Source organism: Homo sapiens, chromosome 3, assembly GCF_000001405.40.
Source record: "Homo sapiens chromosome 3, GRCh38.p14 Primary Assembly".
Lineage (NCBI taxonomy): Eukaryota > Metazoa > Chordata > Mammalia > Primates > Hominidae > Homo > Homo sapiens.
In genome coordinates this window covers 19,134,861-19,159,261 of record NC_000003.12, presented here as the reverse complement: position 1 = coordinate 19,159,261, position 24,401 = coordinate 19,134,861, and the positions used below count along the sequence as shown (strand labels likewise).

The following is a 24,401-nucleotide window of genomic DNA, read 5'->3' as shown; positions in this document are numbered from 1 at the left end:
GGAGGGAAAATCCAGCAACATAGCAAGTAACTTTTATTGAAGGGATGCAAAGATAGTTCAATATTATAAAATCTGTTGAATTCATTATATTAATTGATTCAATAACACAGAAAGAATAGTCTCGATAGATAATAAAATGACAATGGATAAAAAGGCTTAATGAAATAGGAATACATTACAAAGTCTTCTAATAAAGCACAAATATATAATAAAATATTTACCTCTCAAACAACAAGCCAGAAAACACTCATTAGAAAAACAATAAAATAATACCCCTTAAAGTTAAGAAGGAGAAGGGTTTTCTTTATGGTCGCCATGTTTTAACATTGGTCTTAAAATGCCAAAGCAATTAAACAAAAGGGAAAAAGTAAGAGTTGCAAAAATTAGCAACAAAAGGCAAAATTTTTATTATTTAAGACCAGTATTATTTCTTATCTGAAAACTTCAATAATCCAACACCAGAATTATTACAAAGGATAGGAGAAAGTCAGTAAGCTGGCTGGTTAAAAAAATTAATAACATATAGAAGTTAATTTCCTTCAAGTAAACAAACATGATTGAATTAGAAAAAGCAAAACAGTGAAAGAAAACTTTCTATTTTACATAGCAATTGCAAAGATAAAATTACTAGGAATAAAATAAGTACAAAATGTTTTATTGAGAACTCCCTCAAAAGGTGTAAACAATAAAAATACCTAGCAAGTTTTTGAATATGAATGTTCAACATCACAAAAATGTCGTATTTCCTGTAGATCAGTCCATTAAAAATACCATCAGGATTTTTTTCAATTAGAAAATCTGATACTTAAAGTCATACAGACTTCCAAATAAGTACAATTAGTCAAATAAAATTCTGAGAACAAAATCATGGAATGAGAATTTTAAGAACATATCACAAATATTCTATAATTAAAATTGTAGTACTAAAATATACAGAAAAAGATCAGTTAATATAATAGGATAGAAAGTCAAGAAATAGAATTACATAGAGGAATATAAAATATGATAAACTAGACATTTCAAACTAACATAAAGAAGATGAATTGTTGAATAACATTGTTAGGAAATTTGTCCAATTCTTAAGTCTATAAACTCTTAGGATAGGAATTTGAAAGTAAAAGTTACAGAACTTATTAATGGAGGAGAAAAAAATTGAATACGTAAAATAAAACTATAGTAGAACATATGGGATATGTTTTAAAAATTATACACCTACTATGTACCCACAAAAATGAAAAATTAGAAATAATAATAATAGTAATTTCAAAATAGGGAATGCCTCTCTAAGTATGACACAAAATCTAGATATCATAACAGGGAAATTTATTAATTCATCTATATAAAAATCAAAAGACCAACCAAAACTGGGACAATGTATACAATTCGTGTTACTAATAAAGTGTTCCATTTTTAAAACTATATAAATGGCTCAAAGATGTCAAAAAAGGGAAAAACAACAATTCAGTTAATAAGAGACAATGAATATAAACAAGTAATGCTCAACAAAGCATTTAAATATCTCTTAAACATATTAAAAAATTCTGAACTTCAATTATAGTAAACAAATGGACATTAACAATCACAAGAAACCACTTTTCATCCATTAATTTGAAAACAATTCAAGTGATGACATAAAGAATGCTGAAATGCTATACAAATATTAGCCATTATTAATATCTACCAAATAATTTTATAACTTTTGACTTGCCAGAAGCAATAATACAATATATAATATGAGTACTGTACAGCTAAACAAGAGGCCTAAATTTTTATTAATGATGTATCCTAAAACCTAAAATTACACATTTGTTGAGAGAGAAGGACAGGCTCATTTTCAGATGACTGAGATGTAGCCTAACCAAAACTGTACCAAATTAATACAACACAAAAGCTCCTTCTCATTGCCCCAGGCCCAATACCCTCATTCTTTTCCATAACTCATCAAATCACAGCAAAACATTTATCCAGATGTTAAGGTAAAAACCTTGCCCAATTTTACCTTCTACTTTATTCTCTCCATTGAAGGAATAGCCAGAACACCACAGGTAAGAGCCATCTACTTCTTGTCAAACTGGATATTTGGCATTTCAATAAAATCTGAACTTCTTATGTGGATCCTTTTTTCCAGAAAATCAAATAAAACATGGTAAGACTGGTAAGTGCTCTGGTCTCTGTTCCCTTTAGTTCAATAACTGGAATAAAAGATTCATTTGGACTGACAAATACAATAAAGATGTCTGTCCAAAATACTTAATAGAACAAAAGAAAACCTTTTTTTTAAAAAAAAAAAAAAAAGCTTTATAGACTTGAGAGTTGGAGGGCTAACTACCCTTACTTCTTCCTGCAAGTTCATTGTGGAGAAAAGGTAAACTATTTCTGTTAAAAGATGTCAACAGTACCTGACACTGGAAAATATATTCCTCCCAATAAAAGCAGACTCAAAATACATGGAAGAATTTCCTCTATATGACCCTAACAAGGTAAATATCCAAAATGATATCACTATAATAGCTATGAGAATTAGAATATCTTCACAGACAGATTAACCTCACAACAAAAGGAAATCACTAGAGAGTACTACAGTCAGCAAATTCTAAACAGAAAAATCTCAAAGAAAATGGATTTCCTTTTTAAAAAAAATGGACACTAGATTTTCTTTGATGAGCTAAACTGCTTTGCACAGTGAATGCATTTAGTAGTTCCAGTTATGAATCTTTAATACCTATTTTAAAACATCACTTAAATGACAAGTATTTAAAGCATAATATATCCAAAGGGGAACAAACAGCATATAAACTAGAAATGGCTAAAATCTTTAAAGAAATATCTCATTTGCAAGAGCTAGAAACTAGAAACGATACCACAAACCACCCTAGTCTGTTTACACTTGCTATACAAGCACATTTTAGAGGCAGTATGATATAGTAGAAAAATCACAGGCTAATATGATATAGTAGAATTCTGGGCTTGAATTTTGTCATCTTTGACTCAAAAAGTGGGTGCTGCCTTCCACCTTGCTGGGTTATTGGGTTGTGATAGGAACAGAAAAAGCACCAGCACAGTACACAGCATGCATGTAGACATGCCCAAGATGATAGACACTATTATCACTAGAGTTTGTAAAAGAAATTTGTGCTTGAACCACGTGAAAATAAGAGGCTGGAAGGCAGTCCAGTATTCTCTCTCAAAACTAAAGGTAATCATGCAATAGTGAATAAAAGGAACACCAGGTACCACTAAAGGGAGATAAATATAATTAATACTCAGCCCTGGCCTTCAAAGAAGTTGAAATTCTTTTACTCAAAGAAATATTTACTGAGCAAAGACCATTTCAACTATAAGTCTAAGCAATGGGAGTAATGACATAGTTAAGGCTTCAAGGAGTTCATGGTCGAGTGTTAAAATATGAAAGCATATAATTATAGCACATATAAAAGCTGATTAGAGGAATGGGCAAGGCCATGTGGAAGTATAGGGGAAATGTCATGTAACTTTACTCGGAGCCTCAGAGAAGGAGTTTGATAGAATGTAATCTTTAGGATGGATCTTGAACAAAAAGCATCTTGCTCTTCAAGTGAAAAGCAGAGTCCCAAAACCATGAAAGAGCAGGGAATTTAGAATGAGTATGTGTGTAGCCTGGGAGACAGTGGTTGGAAAAGATTCTGCAGAATCATCTTGGGGTCAGATGATGCCAAGGACATTGGACATTATCCAAAAGGCAGCAGGGAGCCAACGGATGGCTCTAAGCAGGAGTGTTACATGATTAAGTGGTAATATTGTTTTTAATGGAAATCACTCTGGGAACAATGGAAACTGAACAAGTGGGAGTAGAAGGGACTGATGGTCACAGGGGTCTAGTTAGAGAAAGGCTGCAATTGTAGAGATAAGAAAAAGATGATCAGAATTAAAACAGAAGCAATAAAGAGGGAATTGAGGTACCAAATTAGGGCATTTCTGCAGTAAAATATTAAAAATTTGATAATTAATTAGATGTGTAGGCAGTCAAGGCCAACTCAGATTTGCAGCTTGAAGAACTGGATGGGTCGTGATGCCAATAATGAGGCTGGAACATGTAAGAAAACAAATAGGTTTCAAAGGCTAGAAAAGATTATTAGTTCATTTGGGGACATGTGGCATTTGAAGAGTTTATGTGACAAAGATGGTTGTATTAACAACTATAAAGGAAAGCAAAACATATCTTCCAGGGAATTTATAATCCAATAACTATATTTGCCTGTTTAAATTACTGAGAAAGCTCTTCAATTGCTCCAGTTGCCAAATATGAACTAGGTCATAGGTGAAGTTGAAGTCTCATCTTTGATGTTTGTATTTTGGATTTTAAACACAGCATTTAGATGAGATCAGCAAATATATACTGCCAGGGCGAAGCATACTATCTTTGCAGCAGTTCCAACTCTTTACCTTTTACTGTTGGGATTTCTCCAATCAAGTTCACTGGCACTGAATTCCAGCAAACCCTCAATTCTTTTTCTTGACCAAGGACATAACTCTAGAATAATACAGGGGTAAACCGCCCTGGAGGAGAAGAGTAGTCAGCTGTGTGGTGAGAAATAAATCTATCACTTCCTTAAGAGAAAGTTAACTCCCTGGGAGAAAGAAACATTCCTAAGAAAATGAACACATCAACTTCACTGCATTCTATGGAACCTTTATTTTAAAAAGCATTATTAGAAGAGATAGTAAAAAGAAACATCCCAAGTCTAAAGTTGGCATCTACTGTAGTGTGCTTTAGACTGTAGAACATGGGAAGGTTGAGCATTTTGGAAGTTTTTTAACTAGACATAGATGGCACCATAGTTTTTTACCAAAATATGGATCTATCACTTCCAATGGCTTATTATAACCAAAAACTGTGGGTTTAAAGATCTTTTATGGCTGGTCTAACCTACTTTCCATTGCCCTCTTACTTCTACATTGACCCCTTAACACCCTTTAAAATGCCTCTTATTCTCACTAAAGGCTCTTTCCAGCCTCAATGACAAGTACTGTACAAAATGGCAAATTAAATAGAATATTGTTTTTGCACCTATCATATATGATACAATCATTCCCACCCAAAGTTATTTATTATATGAAGCCCTCTCAGATCATTCCTGCATAGAAACTATTCCTCCCTCACCCAAATGTGCATAGCCCTTTGTCTGCACCTTCTGAATTACACTTATCTTTTTCTAATCTATATTATAGTAATTTGTGCATGTTACATTGCCCCATTTGAGAAAAAGATAATCCTGATTTATTCCAAATATCCTAGCATGATGGCTTTGTGTAAAGTTGGTATTCATTGAATATTATTAGAAAAATGATTGGGCCAGGTGCAGTGGCTCACGCCTGTAATCCCAGCACTTTGGGAGGGCGCGGTGGGTGGATCACGAGGTCATGAGTTCAAGACCAGCCTGGCCAAGATGGTGAAACCCCGTCTCTACTAAAAATGCAAAAAAATTAGCCAGGCGTAGTGGCAGGCATCTGTAATCCCAGCCACTTGGGAGGCTGAGGCAGAGAATTGCTTGAACCCGGGAGGCGGAGGTTTCAGTGAGCCAAGATCGCACCACTGCACTCCAGCCTGTGCGACAGAGTGAGACTCGTCTAAAAAAAAAAAAAAAAAGAAAAAAGAAAGAAAAGAAAAGAAAAGAAAAAGAAAAAGAAAAATGATTGAGTGAATGAATAAAGTACACATTTCTTTAGAAAGACTGTGCCTCTTCCAGAAGTATGTTGAGTCTAGGATATCTCAGAAACTAGTAACTCAGGATCCTCAATATGCTTCTGTAAAGACTTTTTGTCCTTTGCCAGTCTCATTGGCCAGAAGAGGTCTCATGCCACGACCTTTGAACTGACAGTAATGAAAAATGTTAGAGCCTAGAAAGACTATATCGTGGACACAATTTCAATTTTCAGCATATTGCATGTCCATTTTCTCTATATAATAATGTCAAAATTATCTGATGTTAGCTTTTAAGACTGTGCAATACAACTTTTCTTATTATTTGTATATATCACTAATCAAAAGAAAATCATTTCTGGTAAAGACATAAATCCAATTCCTGTAATTCTAACACTTTCTTCATTGTAGTGAAGTTATCAGAACCCCTGTGATAAGTCCTTTAGAGGGCACAGAATTCATCTACAAAGTCAAGAGTATGATAATGGGTACATTATCCTTCTCCCTATGCTTCTAACATTAAGAGGTCTATGTACCTTGATGAAAGCAAAAAGATAAAAAGAAAAAACCACTGAGAATTTCCTCTGTAGAGGAAGTATTTCAATTTTAACAAATTTCTTTTCTTTTTTCTTTTTTTTTTCTTTTTAAGACAGAGTCTCACTCTGTCACCCAGGCTGGAGTGCAGGGGCATGATCTCAGCTCACTGCAGCCTCTGCCTCCTGGGCTCAAGGGATTCTCCTGCCTCAGCCTCCCAAGTAGCTGGGATTACAGGTGCATGCCGCCACACCCGGCTAATTTTTGTATTTTTAGTAGAAATGGGGTTTCACCATGTCAGCCAGGCTGGTCTCGAACTGCTGGCCTCAAGTGATCTGCCCGCCTCAGCCTCCCAAAGTGCTGGGATTACAGGCGTGAGCCACTGCGCCCAGCATCAATTTTAACAAATTTCTTTGGACCATTTCAAACAGGCTATATAGAAGTGCATAAAATATATGCAAATATTAATGAGTTTCTAAACAACCATTATTTTGAATACTTTGATTGGAATCTTCTTGATGGAGTCCACTGGGCTACAAACTTCCTTTAAAACTTAAATTTTTGTCTTAGTAAACCAAAAGGGAAGAAGTAGTCTGGCCAAATTTTGATATGCCTAGAAAATGTAGGCTAATCCACCATTATGTTTGAAAATGGATACTTCCCTCTGAAAGCTTTGTATCTTTTTTAAAAAGCTGTTTTTCTCAAATGGTATCCTGTGACAAACAATTGTACTAAAAATACTATTTTTTCAAATATAAATACATTGGTATATATTTTTTCAAATATATACCAATGTGTTCCCTTATTGTACTTTCCCTTTGTCCAAATTAATAGTTACTTAAAGCAAAAGTCTAAACAGAAAAGATTTTCTTAAATTACAGCAAATATGTTTTAAAAAAAAACTATGGAGAAGTGAACTAGTTGCAGGCCATAACGTTAGGAGTGTGTGTGTGGTGTATGTGTGTATGTGTATGTCTTAGAGTGGTACAAGTGAGTGGTTTTTGCTATGTGTAATAATTCAAAGAAATTAATTGGAATTACTTTTTCTTTTTCCCCCTAAGTGGGGTATACGTATTTAAGATTTCTAAGGTTCTTAGTTTTTCTAAGTCTTACTACACTTCAGTTAAATACAAACCATAAAACATATTTCAAGAGTAAATATATTTAGTGGTAATTTTATATAATATTTTTATTTTTCAATAATGGTTGCAAATTATATTGCATATCAGAAAAAAATAGCCTCAATTAATAATCCACAAGTGTCTTTCAATCCTGACAGACCTCACTTTTTAAATATTAAAAAGAAATATTATAATATGTAAAATAATAAAGTGTCACTAAGTTATAAAATGTATTATTAACTTCCATTATGTTGCCCTGTGATAATATCTCAACTGATAAATAGTAGGATTATGTTATAGAGTTTTATGTTGTCATATATTTATTTTTCCTGGGAGGATTTTCAGATGATGTCTTACATTGTTTTATTATTCTCCAATAAAATAAATTAATAAGGCTAATAATAATACTGCATGTTGGGTACATTAGCAAGGCAGTTTGCCAGGGTTGTTGTTTGCTCTCTAATTTTTTTTTCATAAAAATTGTCCAAAATAAAATAAGAAACTAGCATGACCGTAAAATATACTTCACAAATAAGGTAAAAATTATACCAACTCAGCATATTACATATTCAGTATAATTAACATTATTCACTTTCCAGCAAAGTTTTTGAGTAGGTGGCAATTTTGTAAATTTAAAATTTGTAAATAGTTTTCTCTTGCAAAAGAAAATAAATGACAGCTATAAAAATCAATAGAAGTAAGGATTATCATAGGAAAATAGTTTCAGAGATAGTAATTACAAAACTGTATCAACAAGAAACAATGGCATAAGAAGATAAAGTAAATAGCTAGCTGGAAAAATGGTATACCCATTATTCTAGATATACCAAAATTTGTGGCTAAAATTTTGTTTAAGGTATTTTAAGTTTCAGATTATTCAAGTCATCCTGCTATTCAAAAAGAAAAAAAAAAGAAAGGAAAAGAAAATGAGAAAAGAAAACCCTCTTTCATTGAGTGGGGGTTTCTTGGGAGGAGAGGTGTTCACTAAATGTTGTAAACAAAACCTTGCCAAAGTCAACCCTTATGTTACTTATCACCTTCAAATTTGCTTCTCTGATTGTCAGATTTCATGCAAACTGGTTCCCTCCAGGAATCCCCCAGATGCTGTGGAGCACAGACCAAGCATGGTCTCCAAAAGACTTTTTGATTTCTTACTATACTAAATACAGGTATGTCAGGATGGTCTTCTTTAAAAATAAGGATTTAAAGTATCTAACCTATCTTATTAACATTAATGTGTAGCCAACATAGAAAAAGAACTATTCACAAGTACATCCATCTCTCCCTACATGCCCTCCTGCTTATCATGCATATCACTATAGTCAGAGTCAGAGGCCAAGATATTTCCACGCTGATGATTTAAAGCCCCTCTCATTAGCAATTGATATCTGAATGTATCACTGCAGTAATTCCCAAGGCTGTGCTGGGATGATTCACTACACATTACACTTCATTCAACTTTAAATGGCAATGAGATAAACAATTACCATTTGCCAATTACCTCATTTTCAATAGACAAATTCAGGATCAATGTTTACAGCCTTTTAGTTTTGGATGTTCAACTTCAAAAAAAAAAACATCCACATTAAACTGATCAGTACCTCAGGTAATGAATAGTAAAATAGTAGTATCCGCCATCATGCATGGTAAAACACAGCAGTGGTGATTTTGTGTGGCGCTTCAGTGGTGTGGTAGTGGCAATGGCAGGGACTTGAAGTTTTCCTATAATATTTATCATTATTATCTAAAAAAGACATACGTAATAACATTACACCTCATACATAACATCTAACACATTTAGAATATAAAAGGGAAAAGAATGGCTAGATGTAAAGATAAAAACACTTATGAAGTGACCAAATATCCACACCAACTACCATGATTAGACTAGATGTCAAAAATAAAAACTGAACAAAATTAAAGTGATTCATTTCTTTCTCATGTAAACTTTTCCAACTATCCCTGAAGCATAAGTCCAAGACTTGCTTCCCACCCAAAGATAAGACTGTGTATTTAGACTACTGGAGTGGAAATGAAATTAGTATTGCTCTCCCATATCAGCTCCAAGAAATATACAGAGTAAAAGCAATGACACTTGAACCACTAAGAAGGACTTTAGGATAAATGAGTTTCTCTGAGTCTCAACAGAAAAATGGAAGACAGTGCACAGAAGCAAGATAAGCTAGAAAGAAGATGAGGATATTCGTAGTGAAACCAACTGAGAGCATTTGTTAGGGGTGGTAGTACAGACTCCTAATTACAGGGTTAAAGCCAGCTAGGAAGATCCACAGGGTCAAGTAGAGAGCTTGAAAAGCCTGAGAAGGAGTGGGGACCTGACCGTGGTCCTGAAAGAGAACAACTTGCAGATGATAACGAACCGTCTGCTAGCAACCACACAACATCCTATCTATTTTTTTTCCTACTGTAGCTTAAATGAGCTAAATGTCCAATAATATTCGTACTCAAAAAAAAAAAACTAAAAACTTTCTCTTATCATCAAATCGTCTTTATTCATGTCCTTCTTCCTGAACAGCCTCTGCTTGAGTGTTAGGCTCATTTAAGGATTAAAAGATACGCTATTCTAGCTCAAAAGCAGGAATCAAGGTTCTGACAAACTCACAACACTTAAAATTCTACAGAAAGCTTACACTTGGCAATCCTGCATTTCTTAAACTCAGATAGAAAATCATACCTATCCGAAATATATCACGGAATGAAGCTCCAAGAAAGAACACTCCAAGCTCTCCTTTTGATCTAGGGAGCCTTGAAACTCTAGAAAGATTAGGTACACCGATATTCCCCTTTTCACCTCAGAAAATTACAACCAATTCCCTAAAGATACACCAAAATGCAGGTCCCACAGTGAATACGGGCGTCGGTCTTTCCTCAGGCTGCGTTTCAGTCCTTAACAAACCCAAGAACTCAAGAGAGCCAACTATTACACCAATACAAAGTGTTAATACTACACCAAACCATGAGGGAACAAATTTCTCCGCACAAAAGATACCTTGGCAAGAACAGAAGAAAATTCACTCCGCTGGTGCAAAAGGGAAGGTGGGAGCAAAAGTAATGTGTACGAGAAAAATCAGTCTCAGAAAATGCCATACCACTCGTTCAAGTGTAAGACTTACGTGTTCCGTCAAAACGGGTGGCGATGGTGTCCAGGAAGGTGTTTTGCGGCGCCAGTAATCCTTTCATAACCGGCATTTTTCCAGCGTGGTGTGAAATTCTCCATCAAAGTTTGTCCAGAAGGATGGTTCGAAAGGAAAGTGCCAAGAAGGGAGAAGGGGAACCTGATGACGGCAGGGAAGGGGGACCCGGCCTGACGGCGGGGCCGAGCAGGGGAAGTGGAAGGATGGAGGGAGAAAGGGAGAGAGTTCCAGCCGCCCCGGCTGTGGCAGGAGGAGCCCCAAGAGCGCTCCCCGAGCCCGCCCCGCACCTCCAGGCTCAGCCCGGCGCAGGCTCCCTCTCCCGCCCCCTCCACCCCCGCCAGCTGCTGAAACCCCCCCACCGTCCCTCCGCGGGCAACAGTGCCCGCCAGGCGCCGCCGCGCGGTGCCTCGCCCCCCACGTCGCCCGCCCGGAAAGAGCCCGCAGTGGCCCGGGGCGCCGCGCCCTGACCGACGTCTCTGGGGTCTGGGAGGGCGGCGCTGAGAGCTGGGAGAGGCGCTGAGCCTCCCGGTCTCCACGGGACGCCGGGAAAGGAGAGCGAGCGCAACTCCCACGCCCCGGGAGCCAGTGAACAAAGACCCCTTTGTTCCCTCTCCGTCCCACTCCCGGGGAGACTGGAGTCCCGTGGGTGTGGTATTGGAGAAAGGGAGGAGACAGGTCGGGGCAGGTATCCGGCCTCAACCTAGAACTTAGGAGGGGGAGGCCCCCCAGTGGTGTCCAAGGGAGCAGAGGCAGCCAGGAGCCCCACGGGGAGGCGGCCCCCTTCCGGAGCACTTGCCATTGCGAGCCCACGCGACAGGGGCAGGGCAGCCCGAGTTAGTTGTGAGGCCCATCCCCAGTCACCAGGGTCTTTTAGTCCGGGAAACTGGCCCCGAGCTCCAAAAAGGGGTGCTTCAGCCCTTCTCCCCAAATTGCCATTGGCCTCCCCAAGCCATCCCAAACTTTAAAAAAATAGCCTTTTGAACGGACAATGGATGGTTTCCCATTCTCCGGTAAAATGTGAATAAAGCATTTCTAGAAAAGTTTGCTATTTTTATTAATTTGCAAAATACCACGTAAGTAAAAACAGTAAGGCTGCCTTCCAAAAATAGCTTCAAACACAAATCCCCTAGCCTGCCCCCCTTTCCCCAGCCCCCACTCCCGAAGACTGACACCTCCAAGAAGAAAGCCTGGCGGACGGCCAGGAACTGAAGGCGTCTCAGAAAACGAAAGTGGTCTCTCCCAGTCCTCCCCCCTGGCCCCCCCCGCGGGGACTCCCTCTCGGCCAACGTTCTGCGGGGAAAGTCGCCCAAGCCTGCGGCACAGCCCTGTGGGGAGTGCAAGGGGACACCCAGAGCCCGAACTTTATAGAAAACTCTGCAAGGGAGGTGGAGTGTGGAAGGGAAGTTGAGAGCCCCAGGGTAGAAAAACAAACGTAAGCCCAGGTGCTAGTGCACCCGGAAGGAAAGGAGGGAAAAAGCAAACAGGTGTCAGAGCCGCGGCGAGGCAGCTCTGATCTCCAGGAACTCGGGCGTGGCGGGAGGAGGGAGGGAGGGCCCACCCCCCGCCCCCTTACTAAGGGGGTTTCTTGTTTCAATTATCTCGGCTGTTGGGGCTTCGGGGGGGACCCCGCGGGTTTCGTCACGTCTGCCTTGGGCTCCGGGAGGGAGGGGGAGAAGAGAGAGAAGCGGCATCCCCCTCTCCCCGCCCCCAGGCCCCCTTTCTCGTGATGCACTTCCTGCGGCCGAGGATTCCCTTTGTGTTGAAATTCGAGAAGATCCGGCAGAGGCTCTAGGCTAGCTGGGCGGGGGCGCGCCGGGGAGGGGACAGGATTCCGGAGTGGGCGGCGCGGGGCGGCCATCCCAGAAGAGAAGCTACCAACGTGGGGTTCCTCGCCCAGCTGCACCCTGCTTCTGCCGCAGGTCCGTCCCTGTCCTCCCCTCAATCCTTGTGTCCCACCCCAGCTTCGCTTTTCGGAAACCGAGCTCACGCGGGTGGAGTCCCCCACGCGGCGAGCCGATCGCAACTGCAGGTGGCTATGTGGCTCAGTCTTGGGCGGAGCTGGGGAGAAAAAGATGAGGGAGTCCCTGTTGTTTGGGTGGCGCATCGTGTCCCAGAAAATTCAGGCTGTTGCTGCCGATGTAAAACGGAGATAAACGCCACCCGTGAATTGGCTCGAAGTTCAGGATGAAATGTATTAGTTGTAAGCTATGACTGTGGTTCATAACAATTTGCACTGTAGGGCCGTGTGTGTAAAAATTGTTTCCTCGTGGTCCTGATCTGTTACCTAATATATGAAATCACTGCAAGAAGCAAGCCACATAGTGGCTTAAAAATGACAACCCAAAAGAAAGCCCCAGTTTCATGGCAAAAGGAGCCTGGCATTTATCATTCACTGTCTCCCCTCCAACACCTATTATGTGTCAGGAACTGTGCTAGGCATGGCAAGATCCCTGCCCTAAATTCAAATTCAAGCCCTGTATTCTACTGAACTGCAGTAGATGGACCTAACTATCTCTTATATCCTTTGCCCACCAAGAAGTGTTTCTTAATGAAGACAGCCATCACCACTCTGGTCTTGAGTTCCAGGCCCTTTTTAAGTTCTAGCCCGAAACCTAATGTTCATCCTAAGGGTTTGTGGCATCAGTGAGGCCAAATTGTGCCATTAGAACATGACCTCCATCCAAGTTTAAGTATATTAAATCCCTTTAAACATGTTTTGCCACCTGGAAAGCAAAGACCGTGAAAGAAGCACCATGGGAGTCTGGAGTTTTCACTATCATCTGCCCCAAATCACCAAATCTCATGTGCTTTCCTTAAGGAAATTTTCCCACTGTCCCCACTTATTGACACAAAAAAACCCAACTCATTTTGTTGCAACTCATTTTATTGACACAAAAAACCCCAACTCATTTTATAGTAGATCACACACTACAGGGATGTGATCTTTCTCTACGGACTAAACGAGACAATGCTACAAGAATACAGGATAACCACACAATAGAGTAAACTTAATGCCCTCATTAAAAATATTGATGTTCATGACAACACATGGACACAGGGAGGGGAACATCACACACCCGGGCCTGTTGGGGGCTGGGGAGCTGGGGGAGGGATAGCATTAGGAGAAATACCTAATGTAAATGACGAGTTGATGGATGCAGCAAACAAACATGGCACATGTATACCAATGTAACAAACCTGCACATTGTGCACATGTACCCTAGAACTTAAAAGTATAACAATAATAATAAAAAATTCATGTTCACAGAAAAGATATTTTTCTTTCACTTTAAAATGTAAAGGAAGGCACAAAATCCCTATAACCAGACCAAGGTACTCTATTATGTACTATAGAAGGCCTCTAGGTAAAACCAACCTAGGCAAAGTTCACTGATACAATAAACTGCCCCAAACCCTACTGACTTAAAATGTCAACAATATTGTATTTTGCTTTCAGATCTCCAATTTTTACAGGGATCAATGGGGCAGGTTATTTCTGAGTACACTTAACCTGGAACTGGAATATACACTTCCAAGATGGTTCACTCAAAGTTATGGAAATTTGGTGCTGGCTTTCAGCTGGGAGCTCAGCCAGTGCTAGGGCCTTGGGGCTTCAGTTATTGGTGTAGATCTCTCCAGGAACTACTTGGGCTTCCTCACAGCATGGTGGTTTCCAGAGTGTCTGAAGAGACAGGAAGTAGGAACTGCCAGTTTCTTAAGGCCTGATCTAGAAACGGCCAGATTGAAAGCAAGCACAGAATCCAGGTTAATCAGAAAGGGGGAAAAGTCCAACCTTTAGATGGAACAAGTATCAAATAAAATGGAGCCATGTTTTAAAATCTTCCTATCAATTTGTTAGTATTTTGAGTTTCAAAGGAAGTTGCCTCATAACAGCATTCCTTAATGTGATTAAAAATCCATTTTTACCTATTCTTTATGTCTCCATAAGCATTTGAGATTTATGGGTACAAGATCTGGGTTCAACTCTATAATTCCTTATAGGGAAAATGTAACACACAAGAGAGAAAATACACATTAAATTCACTTAAGAGTTATAAGCCACAGATAAAGCAATTTTTATTCTTATTTTATTTAAGACTGACTCTCATTAGCATTTGATGTTGTCTTTTCAGACTGACTGGAACTGGAAAAAGCTTCAGGGCTCTCTATATTAGTTTGATGGTTTTAGGTCGGCTTCACGTCTGTTTTCTAATTATAGCATTCATCCAATACCATGACACAAAATAGCTGCAAATGCCTTATTGATGCATATGTATTTGACTGTAGGCACTGAAAATATTCTTAAACTTTTTCTGGCAACAAGAATTTTAGCCTTCGCAAGAAGGCAATATTTTAATTTACAGGCATCTACTCAGATGTATTGAGTTCTAGTTTTGTTTCAACCACTTATCCCCTTTGTCATTTAAAGTTTGTGGGTTTCCATTTCCTTAACTGTAAAACTGGGATAATAATACTTTCCCTACTTACTCCACTGAGTAGAAGAAAATATTTATGAAAGCCTTTGAATCTCATAATATGTGGCATACAATAAAAGGGATGATAATAATCATTGTTCTCTTTTTTATGTTCTAACATATCTAATACAAGTTGTTTATCCACAATAAATATTGTTGACCAACTATGACAGTTTATGGTCCTGTTAGCTCAGAACACATTTATGTATTAATAATTTGTTACAACCTATGACTGGTGAGCTTTTCCTTCTAAATATAAATGACTTTAGAAGCTCAGAAGGAAAATCAAGCAGTTCATTTCTTTGACTAACGCTTTCAAATTGTTGTGCTCTTATATCCAACCAAGCTGGATTCCAGTGGTATGTTCACTGCCTCCTCTTCCCCAGTGTTCACTGCCTCCTGTTCCCCAATGGTCACTGCCTATTTCTCAGTGTATGTAGAAACTAAAATACTCCAGCACAATCTCCAAAGCTATGGTTTCAGTCAGAGTAATCTAGGTTATGCCTCAATAAAAAACATAATATCTCAATGGCTTATTACAATAATGCTATTTCTTGCTCAGTCTACATGTCCCACCTGAGTTGGTAAGAGCCTGCTCATTATTGGGGCCCAGATTGATGGAAGTTCTGCTCAAAAGGTATTTTCTTTGAAGAGAAAAAGATAATCCGGCAAAGCATATACTGTTTTTTCAAACTTCCACTTACAACTTAATGACCAAAATAAGTCATATGGCCATCCTAATTTTAAAGAGGTGGTAAAATACAATCCAACCCTTGCCCTCAAAGAAAAGGAACTCTGGAATATTCAAGAACTGACATTTAGTAGCAATAGAGGTGCACTGTTTGGATCTCATGTCAAGAGAACCTGGTGGGAAAAGTGTTGCTGATGACAGTCTTCAGCTGCCAAATCTTCAAATCTGCCACACTGTCCATGTCAGCCGATGACCAAACGTGATGCCAATAGTAAAGTTCAGCCCTTTCTATCCTGTGTGGGGCTCGCCTAATAGGTAATCTCTGTGCCAGGATTCCTCATTAGCTTGACAAAGACTTTCTCAGTAGTGCACCATTCTTCCTACCCACTGTTCCTTCCCTCTCCTTCCGAGATGTCAACCCTGCATCACAGTCTGAAAACTCTTCCTGCCCCCCCACCTACCTTTATCCTTTACATGCTCTTTCTTCAGTGTCAACTCCTATCTTGGTGTCTGCTTGACGGAGGATCCAGATTGACCCTGGCATATCAGGGAGGTTTTCTGAGAAGAAAGAACCATGAGCCCATTTACTAAATTCTACAGCTAACAATGAATCTTGAATAGAAAATAAACAAAAAACATCTCACATGTATCTTTGTTGCCTTCACTCCAGCACATTCTTTTCCTTTGCTCCCTATTTTTCATCCATGATTCACCACTAGCCCAAAATACAATCTGGGAACCAGTCTTGATTATCCTCTCTTTACATTAAAATAAATAATCTATCACTAGTTTCTATTACCTCTAGCTTCATAAAATCTGTAGAATCTGTCCTTTTTCCATTTTCCACTGTCACTCTTTTAACTGATATACTCATTATTTCTTACTATAACTATTTCTCTTAGCTGGTCTTCCTGCCAGAAAGCATTCTTCTTGAATTCCTCCTTTATACTGCAGCCAGCATGGTGTTTTTCTATAATATAAATTAATCATGTACTCCTTCCTTAAAATCTTTGTATCTTTGAGGACAGAGCAAAATTATATCACCTATTAGTTGAAGCCATTCAATAACTGTCCTCGACGTAGCCCTCCAGCGTCATCTTTTATGCACATAGCAAGCTAACTCCTCCATGATTTTATGTTTGACACTTGCTCAATTATGTACAATTCCCAGAACATGATATCTTCTTTCAGGACATCTCTTTAACATGCTGTTACCCTTATTTCAAATGACTATCTCATACTCGCTAACTTTCCTCATCAGTTGAACTCATGACCCAAAGATTACCTTTAACATCGCTTCCAGTGAAACCTTTCTTTGAATTTTCTAATCAACTTAAGTACTCATTTTGTATGTGTCCCTATATTAACTCGCATATGCCTCTGTTATAACCCTTACTTTATAGGTATAGGTATGTGCCTGAATATCTACATAATATAAGTGCCTTATATTAACTAGAATTCTGCTTGTCTGCTAGTAACAGAATACTTGCCTTAAAGTGGGTAAGAGTGGCTTAAACAAACAGGGTTATTCTTCTCTAAAATAACTGGTCCTGGGGTGGTTAGTTGCAGATATAAATTCAAAAGCACAACAATATCAGTCATTATTTCTGGTTATCTTGACCTTTTCCTCATGGTTGCAAGATGGCTGCTAAAGTTCCATCCAGTACTTCTTTGGTCTACTATCAGAAGTGAGGAGGAGGTAGTGCTGGCTGAAACCAGCTCTTTTTATTAGGAAAAGTTAAAACTTCCTTGGGAAAACCTCCTTTTCCTCTCAGGACATTTCTGCTATTTCTCATTAGCTAACACTGTGTAATAAAGATGTCTTTAGCTACAAAAAGAATGTGGAAGTGATTAATTACCCAGGATTTATAAAAGAAAGAAGCAAGGTCTAACAGTTTAAGAATGCGTGTGGGTCAACCAACCTACCTAGATCTTCTGCCACATATTTCAAAGGCAGTTAGAAACAAGGTGTGACATGAACAAACGTCCATAATATGGATGACATGCAGGTTTTATATACACTTCAATCCTAAAAATTAATAGCAACTACTAGGCTTTCTGTATTGAAAATAATTCCTAGATGGCTCCCAGACTCATCAAGAGAGTTGAAGAACAATTAATAATGTCTACCATGGGCATGGTAGAAAATCTTAGGGATTCAGATCACTGCAGTAGACCTGGAGCTGTTAGCTCTGTAGCAGATTCCTAAGAGCCGTATTTGTCCCCATCTCTCCATTGCAGAGGAAAGTGAAGAAGTACTTACTTACCCTATGATTTAGTGCTATATCTCTCATTTTGATCACTTGTTAGTCAGGCTATGTTAGATTATTTTGTGGTAGCAAATTAATACCCTACCTCAAGTTTAAGTAAGTTAACCACCAAAATGTAATTATCACTTATAAAGCAATAGAGGGGGCTCTTCTTTACACAATTACTCAGGCACTCAGGCTGATGGACACTCATCCATGTTACAGTTGCACATCCAGAAACAGAGGCCTCCATCATGATCACTGAACAGAAAAGTCACCTGCTATCCTGTGATTCAACCCAGAAATTATACACATCACCTCTTCCTAAAGCTTACTGACCAGAATTACTCATATGCTTTTACTCACCTATGAGAAAGAGCACCCGGAAAGTACTCTGCCAAATCCCCTCTATAAAAATAAAAGATGATACCACCAACTCAGACTTTTCGTGATATTTAAATGACTGAATAATATAAAACACACAGAATAATGACCGAATTATAGTAATAACTCAATAAATGCAAGGTATTACTATTTTAGGTAATTCCGCATATATTCCCACCTTCAGAATTCAGGTCACTGCAACAGACCTTGGGCAATAGTTCAGTAGTAGATTCCAAGAGGTACATGGTTTCAACCAATAGTATTCTCAACTCTTATAAATTTTCACAGTGGTCAAGTTACATAAGGAGGAATACATTCCATATCTTACTGCCATTCAATGAATCTGAGCCTCTTTGGAAGAGTGGAAGGTGAAAAGTGGAGATAATACTGCTTATTTATTTATTAAATCTCACCATCTTTCTCTTGTTTTGAAAATTTCCTGCCACAGGAAACAACATGTCCCTCAGTGCCTATCCAATTTTCAATACTCTGTTCAGGCTTGTTACACAAACACTGGAATCCCAGTCTCATCAGACCTTAATGGTAAATACCTTCCATTTTTGCTCTCTCCTGTACCAGTGTATGTATACACTGTGTCCATCCTACTTTCTTTTCTTCCAGAAGATTAGGTGTTCTCTCCAAAAGTAATACACAGCCACCTGAAATTTTCATTGTCTGTTTCCAGAATCATGTTCCATTTGTCCTCCCCTTCTGTCCTATATCTTTGTTTCTGTCTCTTTTTCTCTCACTACTTGTTTGTTCTCTCAACCTATAAATATTCCAGCTATTCTAATCCTGAGACATATCCTTCCTTGATCTATCTGATCTTTCACATTTCTTTTACATGTAAATTTCCTGAAAATCCATCTAAAATTATTTTGATCTTGTTGCTTCTTCAACCATTCTAAAAAGATTTATCAAAGTCAATAATGACGTAATTTTCTAAAATAATGGACATTTTCAATCCATATATTCCTAATTTTTTGTTGTCTTTGACTCTGTCAATTCCTTCTTAAAACTTTCTAAATTTCTAAAATAGAAAACTTTATTGTTTTGAACAGAAAGAGTCTTTTCTGTTGAATGGTTGGGTTTCTTGAAAAAAGAAAAAAAAAACCCTCTTCCCTTAGCCTATCTTTATATTCTAGTCTCCCTCAAGACTCCATAAACTGGGCCACTAAACTCTACATTTCAGTTACTGTCATATTTTAAATATTTCCTTTCTGAGAACACTTTCCTAATCTTTTTCTGAAACCCAGGCCTCTAAGCTTCTGACAATACCTAATTGTGCTCTCGATATTACTCCTTAACTATTTATTTCACATAAACTTCTGTGTATACCACCAAGTAATCTATGTGAGATCCCAAGTAGTCCTTATTCTTATATCTAAGAGCCATATTTGGCTCCAGTCTATTGTCCAGACTGGAGTGCAGTGGTGAAATCATAGCTCCCTGTAACCTCTAACTCCTGAACTCAGGTGATCCTCCCACCTCAGCCTGCTAAGTAGCTAGGACTACAGGCATGCACCACACACCCAGCTATTAAAAAAAAATATATATATATATATATTGTAGAGACAGATCTTTGCTATATTGGTCTCAAACTCCTGCCCTGAAGTGATCCTCCTGCCTTGGCCTCCCAAATCACTGGGAGTACAAGTGTGAACCACCTTGCCTAGCCTCTAAGCCTTTCTTTACAATGTAGCTAGCATGATTTTAATAAAAGGCAAATCTGAGCATGTCACCCTTCATTTTGCCTCTGGGATTATGAGCCCATCTTATTTGCCATGGCTCATTTCTCACCATCCTCAAAATTTATACTCAAGGAAAACACAATTCCTAGAAGTTCCTAAAATACACAGTGCTCCTCTAGAGACTATGACTTTGATTATGATAACCTCACTTCATGAAAAGTGCTTCCCAGACCTTCTTTGCATGACTAACACACACATACCCACTTTCCACTTCAGCCTAATTTGAATGCCACTCAAAATAGAAGCATTTGCTTTCATAATAGATGTTGTATATCTTCTGACCTAGTTTTATCTGCGCAGTTTTAGGCAAGCCTTTTCTTAGTTTCATGGAGATTATAATAACACACATTTCACAGGGCAGCTGCGAGGGATAAATGAAATAATATAGAGAAAATGATTAGTACAGTATCCACTGTTTTTTCACCATTGTATCTCCAGTGGCTAACATAATCCCTGGTACATTGTAGGCACATAAATATTTGTTTAAAAAAAAGTTAGTTAACATAATTATTATCTCAATCATTTTACCACCACATTGCTTTATATTTATTAGCTTATCTGTCTGTTCCACAGCACCCTGAGCTTCATATGGTTTATTATCTTATCCTGTCCAACCTTTACGTAAGGTTATCTACAACACAGGATGCATGAGACAATGTTTAATGAATTAGAAATGAATATATAGAACAACAGAATTAATCTATAGCATGTCTTTTTCAGGAGCAAGAGTCAAAATTGACTTTATGTCTCTTTTACTACAATTCTCTTTTCTATACAATCTTTTTCCCTTGGTTTATTCATACTCTGAATGTAGGGGTATATGTACATGTGAAGGTATGTAAATTTTATTTATTGATTTATGAATCATGCAAATGTGAAATTAAAATAATATACCTACCATTTTTCCCCATACTGCTGAATTGATCATTTACATGAAAAAAATGAATCAAGGAGTTGGTATATGATCCAAACTTCCTCATTCAAATTAGGCACTTTCTATTTATGTGTGTTCTTTAAGTCACAGTATTTTAAGGCTATAGAATGTTTCTTAAATCTATAACTATTCACTATGAGGCCAATCTCCCATGCCTATGTCCTGTACTGGGGCTTCAATCTCATCATTATATATATATATATATATACACACATTTGTTTTAAACAAGGTCTTGCTCTTTTGCCCAGGTTGGGATGCAGTGGTAGTCATAGCTCACTGCACCCTCGACCTCCCAGGCTCAAATGATCCTCCCACCTTAGCCTTTTGAGTAGATGGGACTATAGGTGTATGCCTCCATGCCCGGCTAATTCTTTGATTTTTTTTATAGAGACAGAATCTTACCATGTTGCCCAAGCTGATCTTGAACTCTTGGAGTCAATCCTCCTGCCTTGGCCTCCCAAAATGCTGGCATTACAGGCATGAGCCACTGCATCTGGCACAATACACATATTTTTCAAAAGGCTCCCATTTGTTGGATGCCTGTTAAGCTATATGAACTATGCATATTAATAAATGGGTGGATATTTGTGAAAAGTGAGGTGATGTAAGTTCTGCTTAAGAAAATAAATTTATCTGTAAAGTAACTCCTTTCTATTTTGTAAACTATCTCAAGGCAGCTTACAATCAAAACACATATAGAAATTATTTCAAGTAAAGTAATATGAACTGATAAGATTATAAGACATTTTTGCTTATTTATACTCGGACATGTTTTTCAAATTTTCTATAATGAGTATACATTATTTTAAAAATGAAATTCAAAATACATTGGGGAAAAAAACAGAAAAAATCAGGAAGTATAAAGGCGGTGGCTCACGCCTGTAATCACAGCACTTTGGGAGGCTGAGGTGGGCGGATCACGAGGTCAGGAGATGGAGGTCATTCTGGCTAACATTGTGAAACCCCATCTCTACTGAAAATACAAAAAATTAGCTGGGTGTGGTGACGGGCGCCTGTAGTCCCAGCTACTTGGGAGGCTGAGGCAGGAGAATGGTGTGAACCCAGGAGGCGGAGCTTGCAGTGAGCCGAGATATCACCACTGCACTCCATCCTGGGCGACAGAGCGAGACTATCTCAAAAAAAAAAAAAAAAGTCTTCTACTTTTAATCTTTTTCCACTTTGACCATCACTTTAACTTGAAGTGATTTAAATCTTGAATATTGTACAAGGAATGTGGTTTACTCACCTGAGCATTAAATTAAGCTCTCACATAGAGAGTAAAAAATGGCCTAGTGATGGCCAGACGTAGTGGCTGATGCCTGTAATCCCAGCACTTTGGGAGGCCAAGACAGAAGGATCACAAGGTCAGCAGTTGGAGACCAGCCTGGCCAACATGGTGAAACCCCGTCTCTACTAAAAATACAAAAATTAGCCAGGCTTGGTGGCAGGCACCTGTAATCCCAGCTATTCTGGAGGCTGAGGCAGGAGAATCACTTGAACCCAGGAAACAGAGATTGCAGTGAGCCAAGACCATGCCATTGCACTCCAGCCTGGGTGACAGAGCAAGGCTCCATCTCAAAAAAAAAAAAAAAAAAAAAAAAAGGCCTAGTTAAAATTAGCATCTTGATTATTTGGATGAGATCAAAACATTTCCTGGTAGTAAGTTCCAAGAGAAAACTCTCACTTGTTTTTTATTGAAATAGCAAAATACCAGACATGAAAACTCAAGTTCTCTACTCCAAGCATATTGTTAACTAATTTTGAGACCTTAAACAAACCACTTAACATTTCTGAAATTCATATGGAGGAAGAAAGACGGAAGAGTAAGTTCAGATTTCGGAAGTCCCTTTTGCTTTCATATGATCCATGTTCAGCTAGAAAATTTCAAAATAAGATTGGGAGCTATTTCTTTTCATTTGAAAATTGAACCCCAGCAACAATCCTTGCTGACCCAGAGAACTTGAAAGAAAAACTTTATCTCTTTGCTGACATACAGATAAAGACAATTCAGAGTTTTTCCTAGTGCATTAAAGATGAAAATACTGATTCTCACACCCTCCTTTTCTTCCCTAGATTCTACCCCGGTTTCTGTTTTTAGACTTTCACACAAGCAAAAAATAAAAAAATAAAAAAATAAATAAATAAATAAATAAAATATATATATATATATATATATAAAGTCAGTCTTTTCTAAGTCTCCTGCTGCTCCTTTGTATGTATTTAAACCAAATGTTTTAGCAGAAGATGAGAATAGATACTCAGTGCTGATGTAAATGGCAATGCCGTCATCACTCAGCTAAAAGAAAAAAGAAATCAAGGGGAGGGAATGTGAGCAGTTCTAAGTGCTGATGAAGTAGATGTTTAAAAACTGTAAGTTCTTAGTGGTCAGACATCATGCTATCCACTTCTTTTTTATTAACTCATGGTACTAGCTCAATGATCTCTTTCTTTTCAGAATTATAGTAGCACTGCCCAAATTCTCTGTCTGCTAATGTCTCACGCAATATCAAGGCATGTCTTCTTTTGATGTCTTGACTTCATTCTATAAAATATAGTTTCATTATTTTCCAATGCTGTACACGTTAGGTCTGCTACTAGACCAGAGGTAACTTAGGGGAAAGGATTATATTTTAGATTCTTTCTTTCATAGTACCTATACTGAACCAGTGTTCTTTGTAGGTTTTCAATACAGACTTGTATGCTCTGCACATGCTGGGTTATTTAGGCAGTGTGTATTGATCAGGTGAACTTAGCTAGAGCCTCCATATTGCCAGTTCCTTCATTCTAATATTTAAATGAAAATCTTTGAACTGCAGATTCCTTTCAACTACATTTTTTGTTACTTCTTCAACTCAATCCCTTCTTTCTTTTCTTCTTTTTATTACTTAGCTACCATCTTCTTTTCCAGATTTTGCTGAAAATTCACCTACTTTAAAAATCTTCTACTTTTAGGCCGGGCATGGTGGCTCACGCCTGTAATCACAGCACTTTGGGAGGCTGAGGCGGGCAGATCACGAGGTCAGGAGATCGAGGCCATTCTGGCTAACATCATGAAACCCCGTCTCTCCTGAAAATACAAAAAATTAGCCGGGCGTGGTGGCGGGCACCTGTAGTCCCAGCTACTCGGGAGGCTGAGGCAGGAGAATGGTGTGAACCCAGGAGGTGGAGCTTGCAGTGAGCCGAGATATCGCCACTGCACTCCATCCCGGGCAACAGAGCGAGACTCCATCTCAAAAAAAAAAAAAAAAAAAGTCTTCTACTTCTAATCTTTTTCCACTTTGACCATCACTTTAACTTGAAGTGATTTAAATCTTGAATATCTAGTGTTTCCTTTGTTGCTGCCATCTTTAAATGTTTCTTATGTAATTTCGCTCTAAAAACACTGCTTCTAAATAAACTTTAAGGAGCAGTCTTGGGTCATTTCTTTTTT

At 38.3% G+C, this 24,401-nt stretch overlaps 1 protein-coding gene across 5 annotated transcripts in view, besides 3 other annotated features; it reads right to left on the bottom strand.

The window, feature by feature from the left end:
* KCNH8 (potassium voltage-gated channel subfamily H member 8) overlaps positions 1-10,752 on the bottom strand; it is a 387,133-nt gene extending 376,381 nt beyond the window's left edge. For all 5 annotated transcript variants that reach the window (XM_017005698.3, NM_144633.3, XM_017005700.3 and 2 more), the window contains exon 1: positions 10,467-10,752. In XM_017005698.3, coding sequence (XP_016861187.1) covers positions 10,467-10,542 — 76 coding nt within the window. In that variant the 5' untranslated portion in view covers positions 10,543-10,752. The remainder of the gene's footprint in view (positions 1-10,466) is intronic.
* Positions 11,310-11,903: an enhancer, noted in NCBI's record as "H3K27ac hESC enhancer chr3:19188851-19189444 (GRCh37/hg19 assembly coordinates)". NCBI's record gives its function as "activates a minimal SCP1, AML or CMV promoter by ChIP-STARR-seq in primed H9 embryonic stem cells {active_cell/tissue: H9 hESC(primed)}" and the evidence as "EXISTENCE:reporter gene assay evidence [ECO:0000049][PMID:30033119]".
* Positions 11,904-12,497: an enhancer, noted in NCBI's record as "H3K27ac hESC enhancer chr3:19188257-19188850 (GRCh37/hg19 assembly coordinates)". NCBI's record gives its function as "activates a minimal SCP1, AML or CMV promoter by ChIP-STARR-seq in naive H9 embryonic stem cells {active_cell/tissue: H9 hESC(naive)}" and the evidence as "EXISTENCE:reporter gene assay evidence [ECO:0000049][PMID:30033119]".
* Positions 12,191-12,362: a silencer, noted in NCBI's record as "fragment chr3:19188392-19188563 (GRCh37/hg19 assembly coordinates)". NCBI's record gives its function as "represses an EF-1alpha promoter that drives an FKBP-Casp9 reporter gene in an ReSE screen in K562 erythroleukemia cells {active_cell/tissue: K562}" and the evidence as "EXISTENCE:reporter gene assay evidence [ECO:0000049][PMID:32094911]".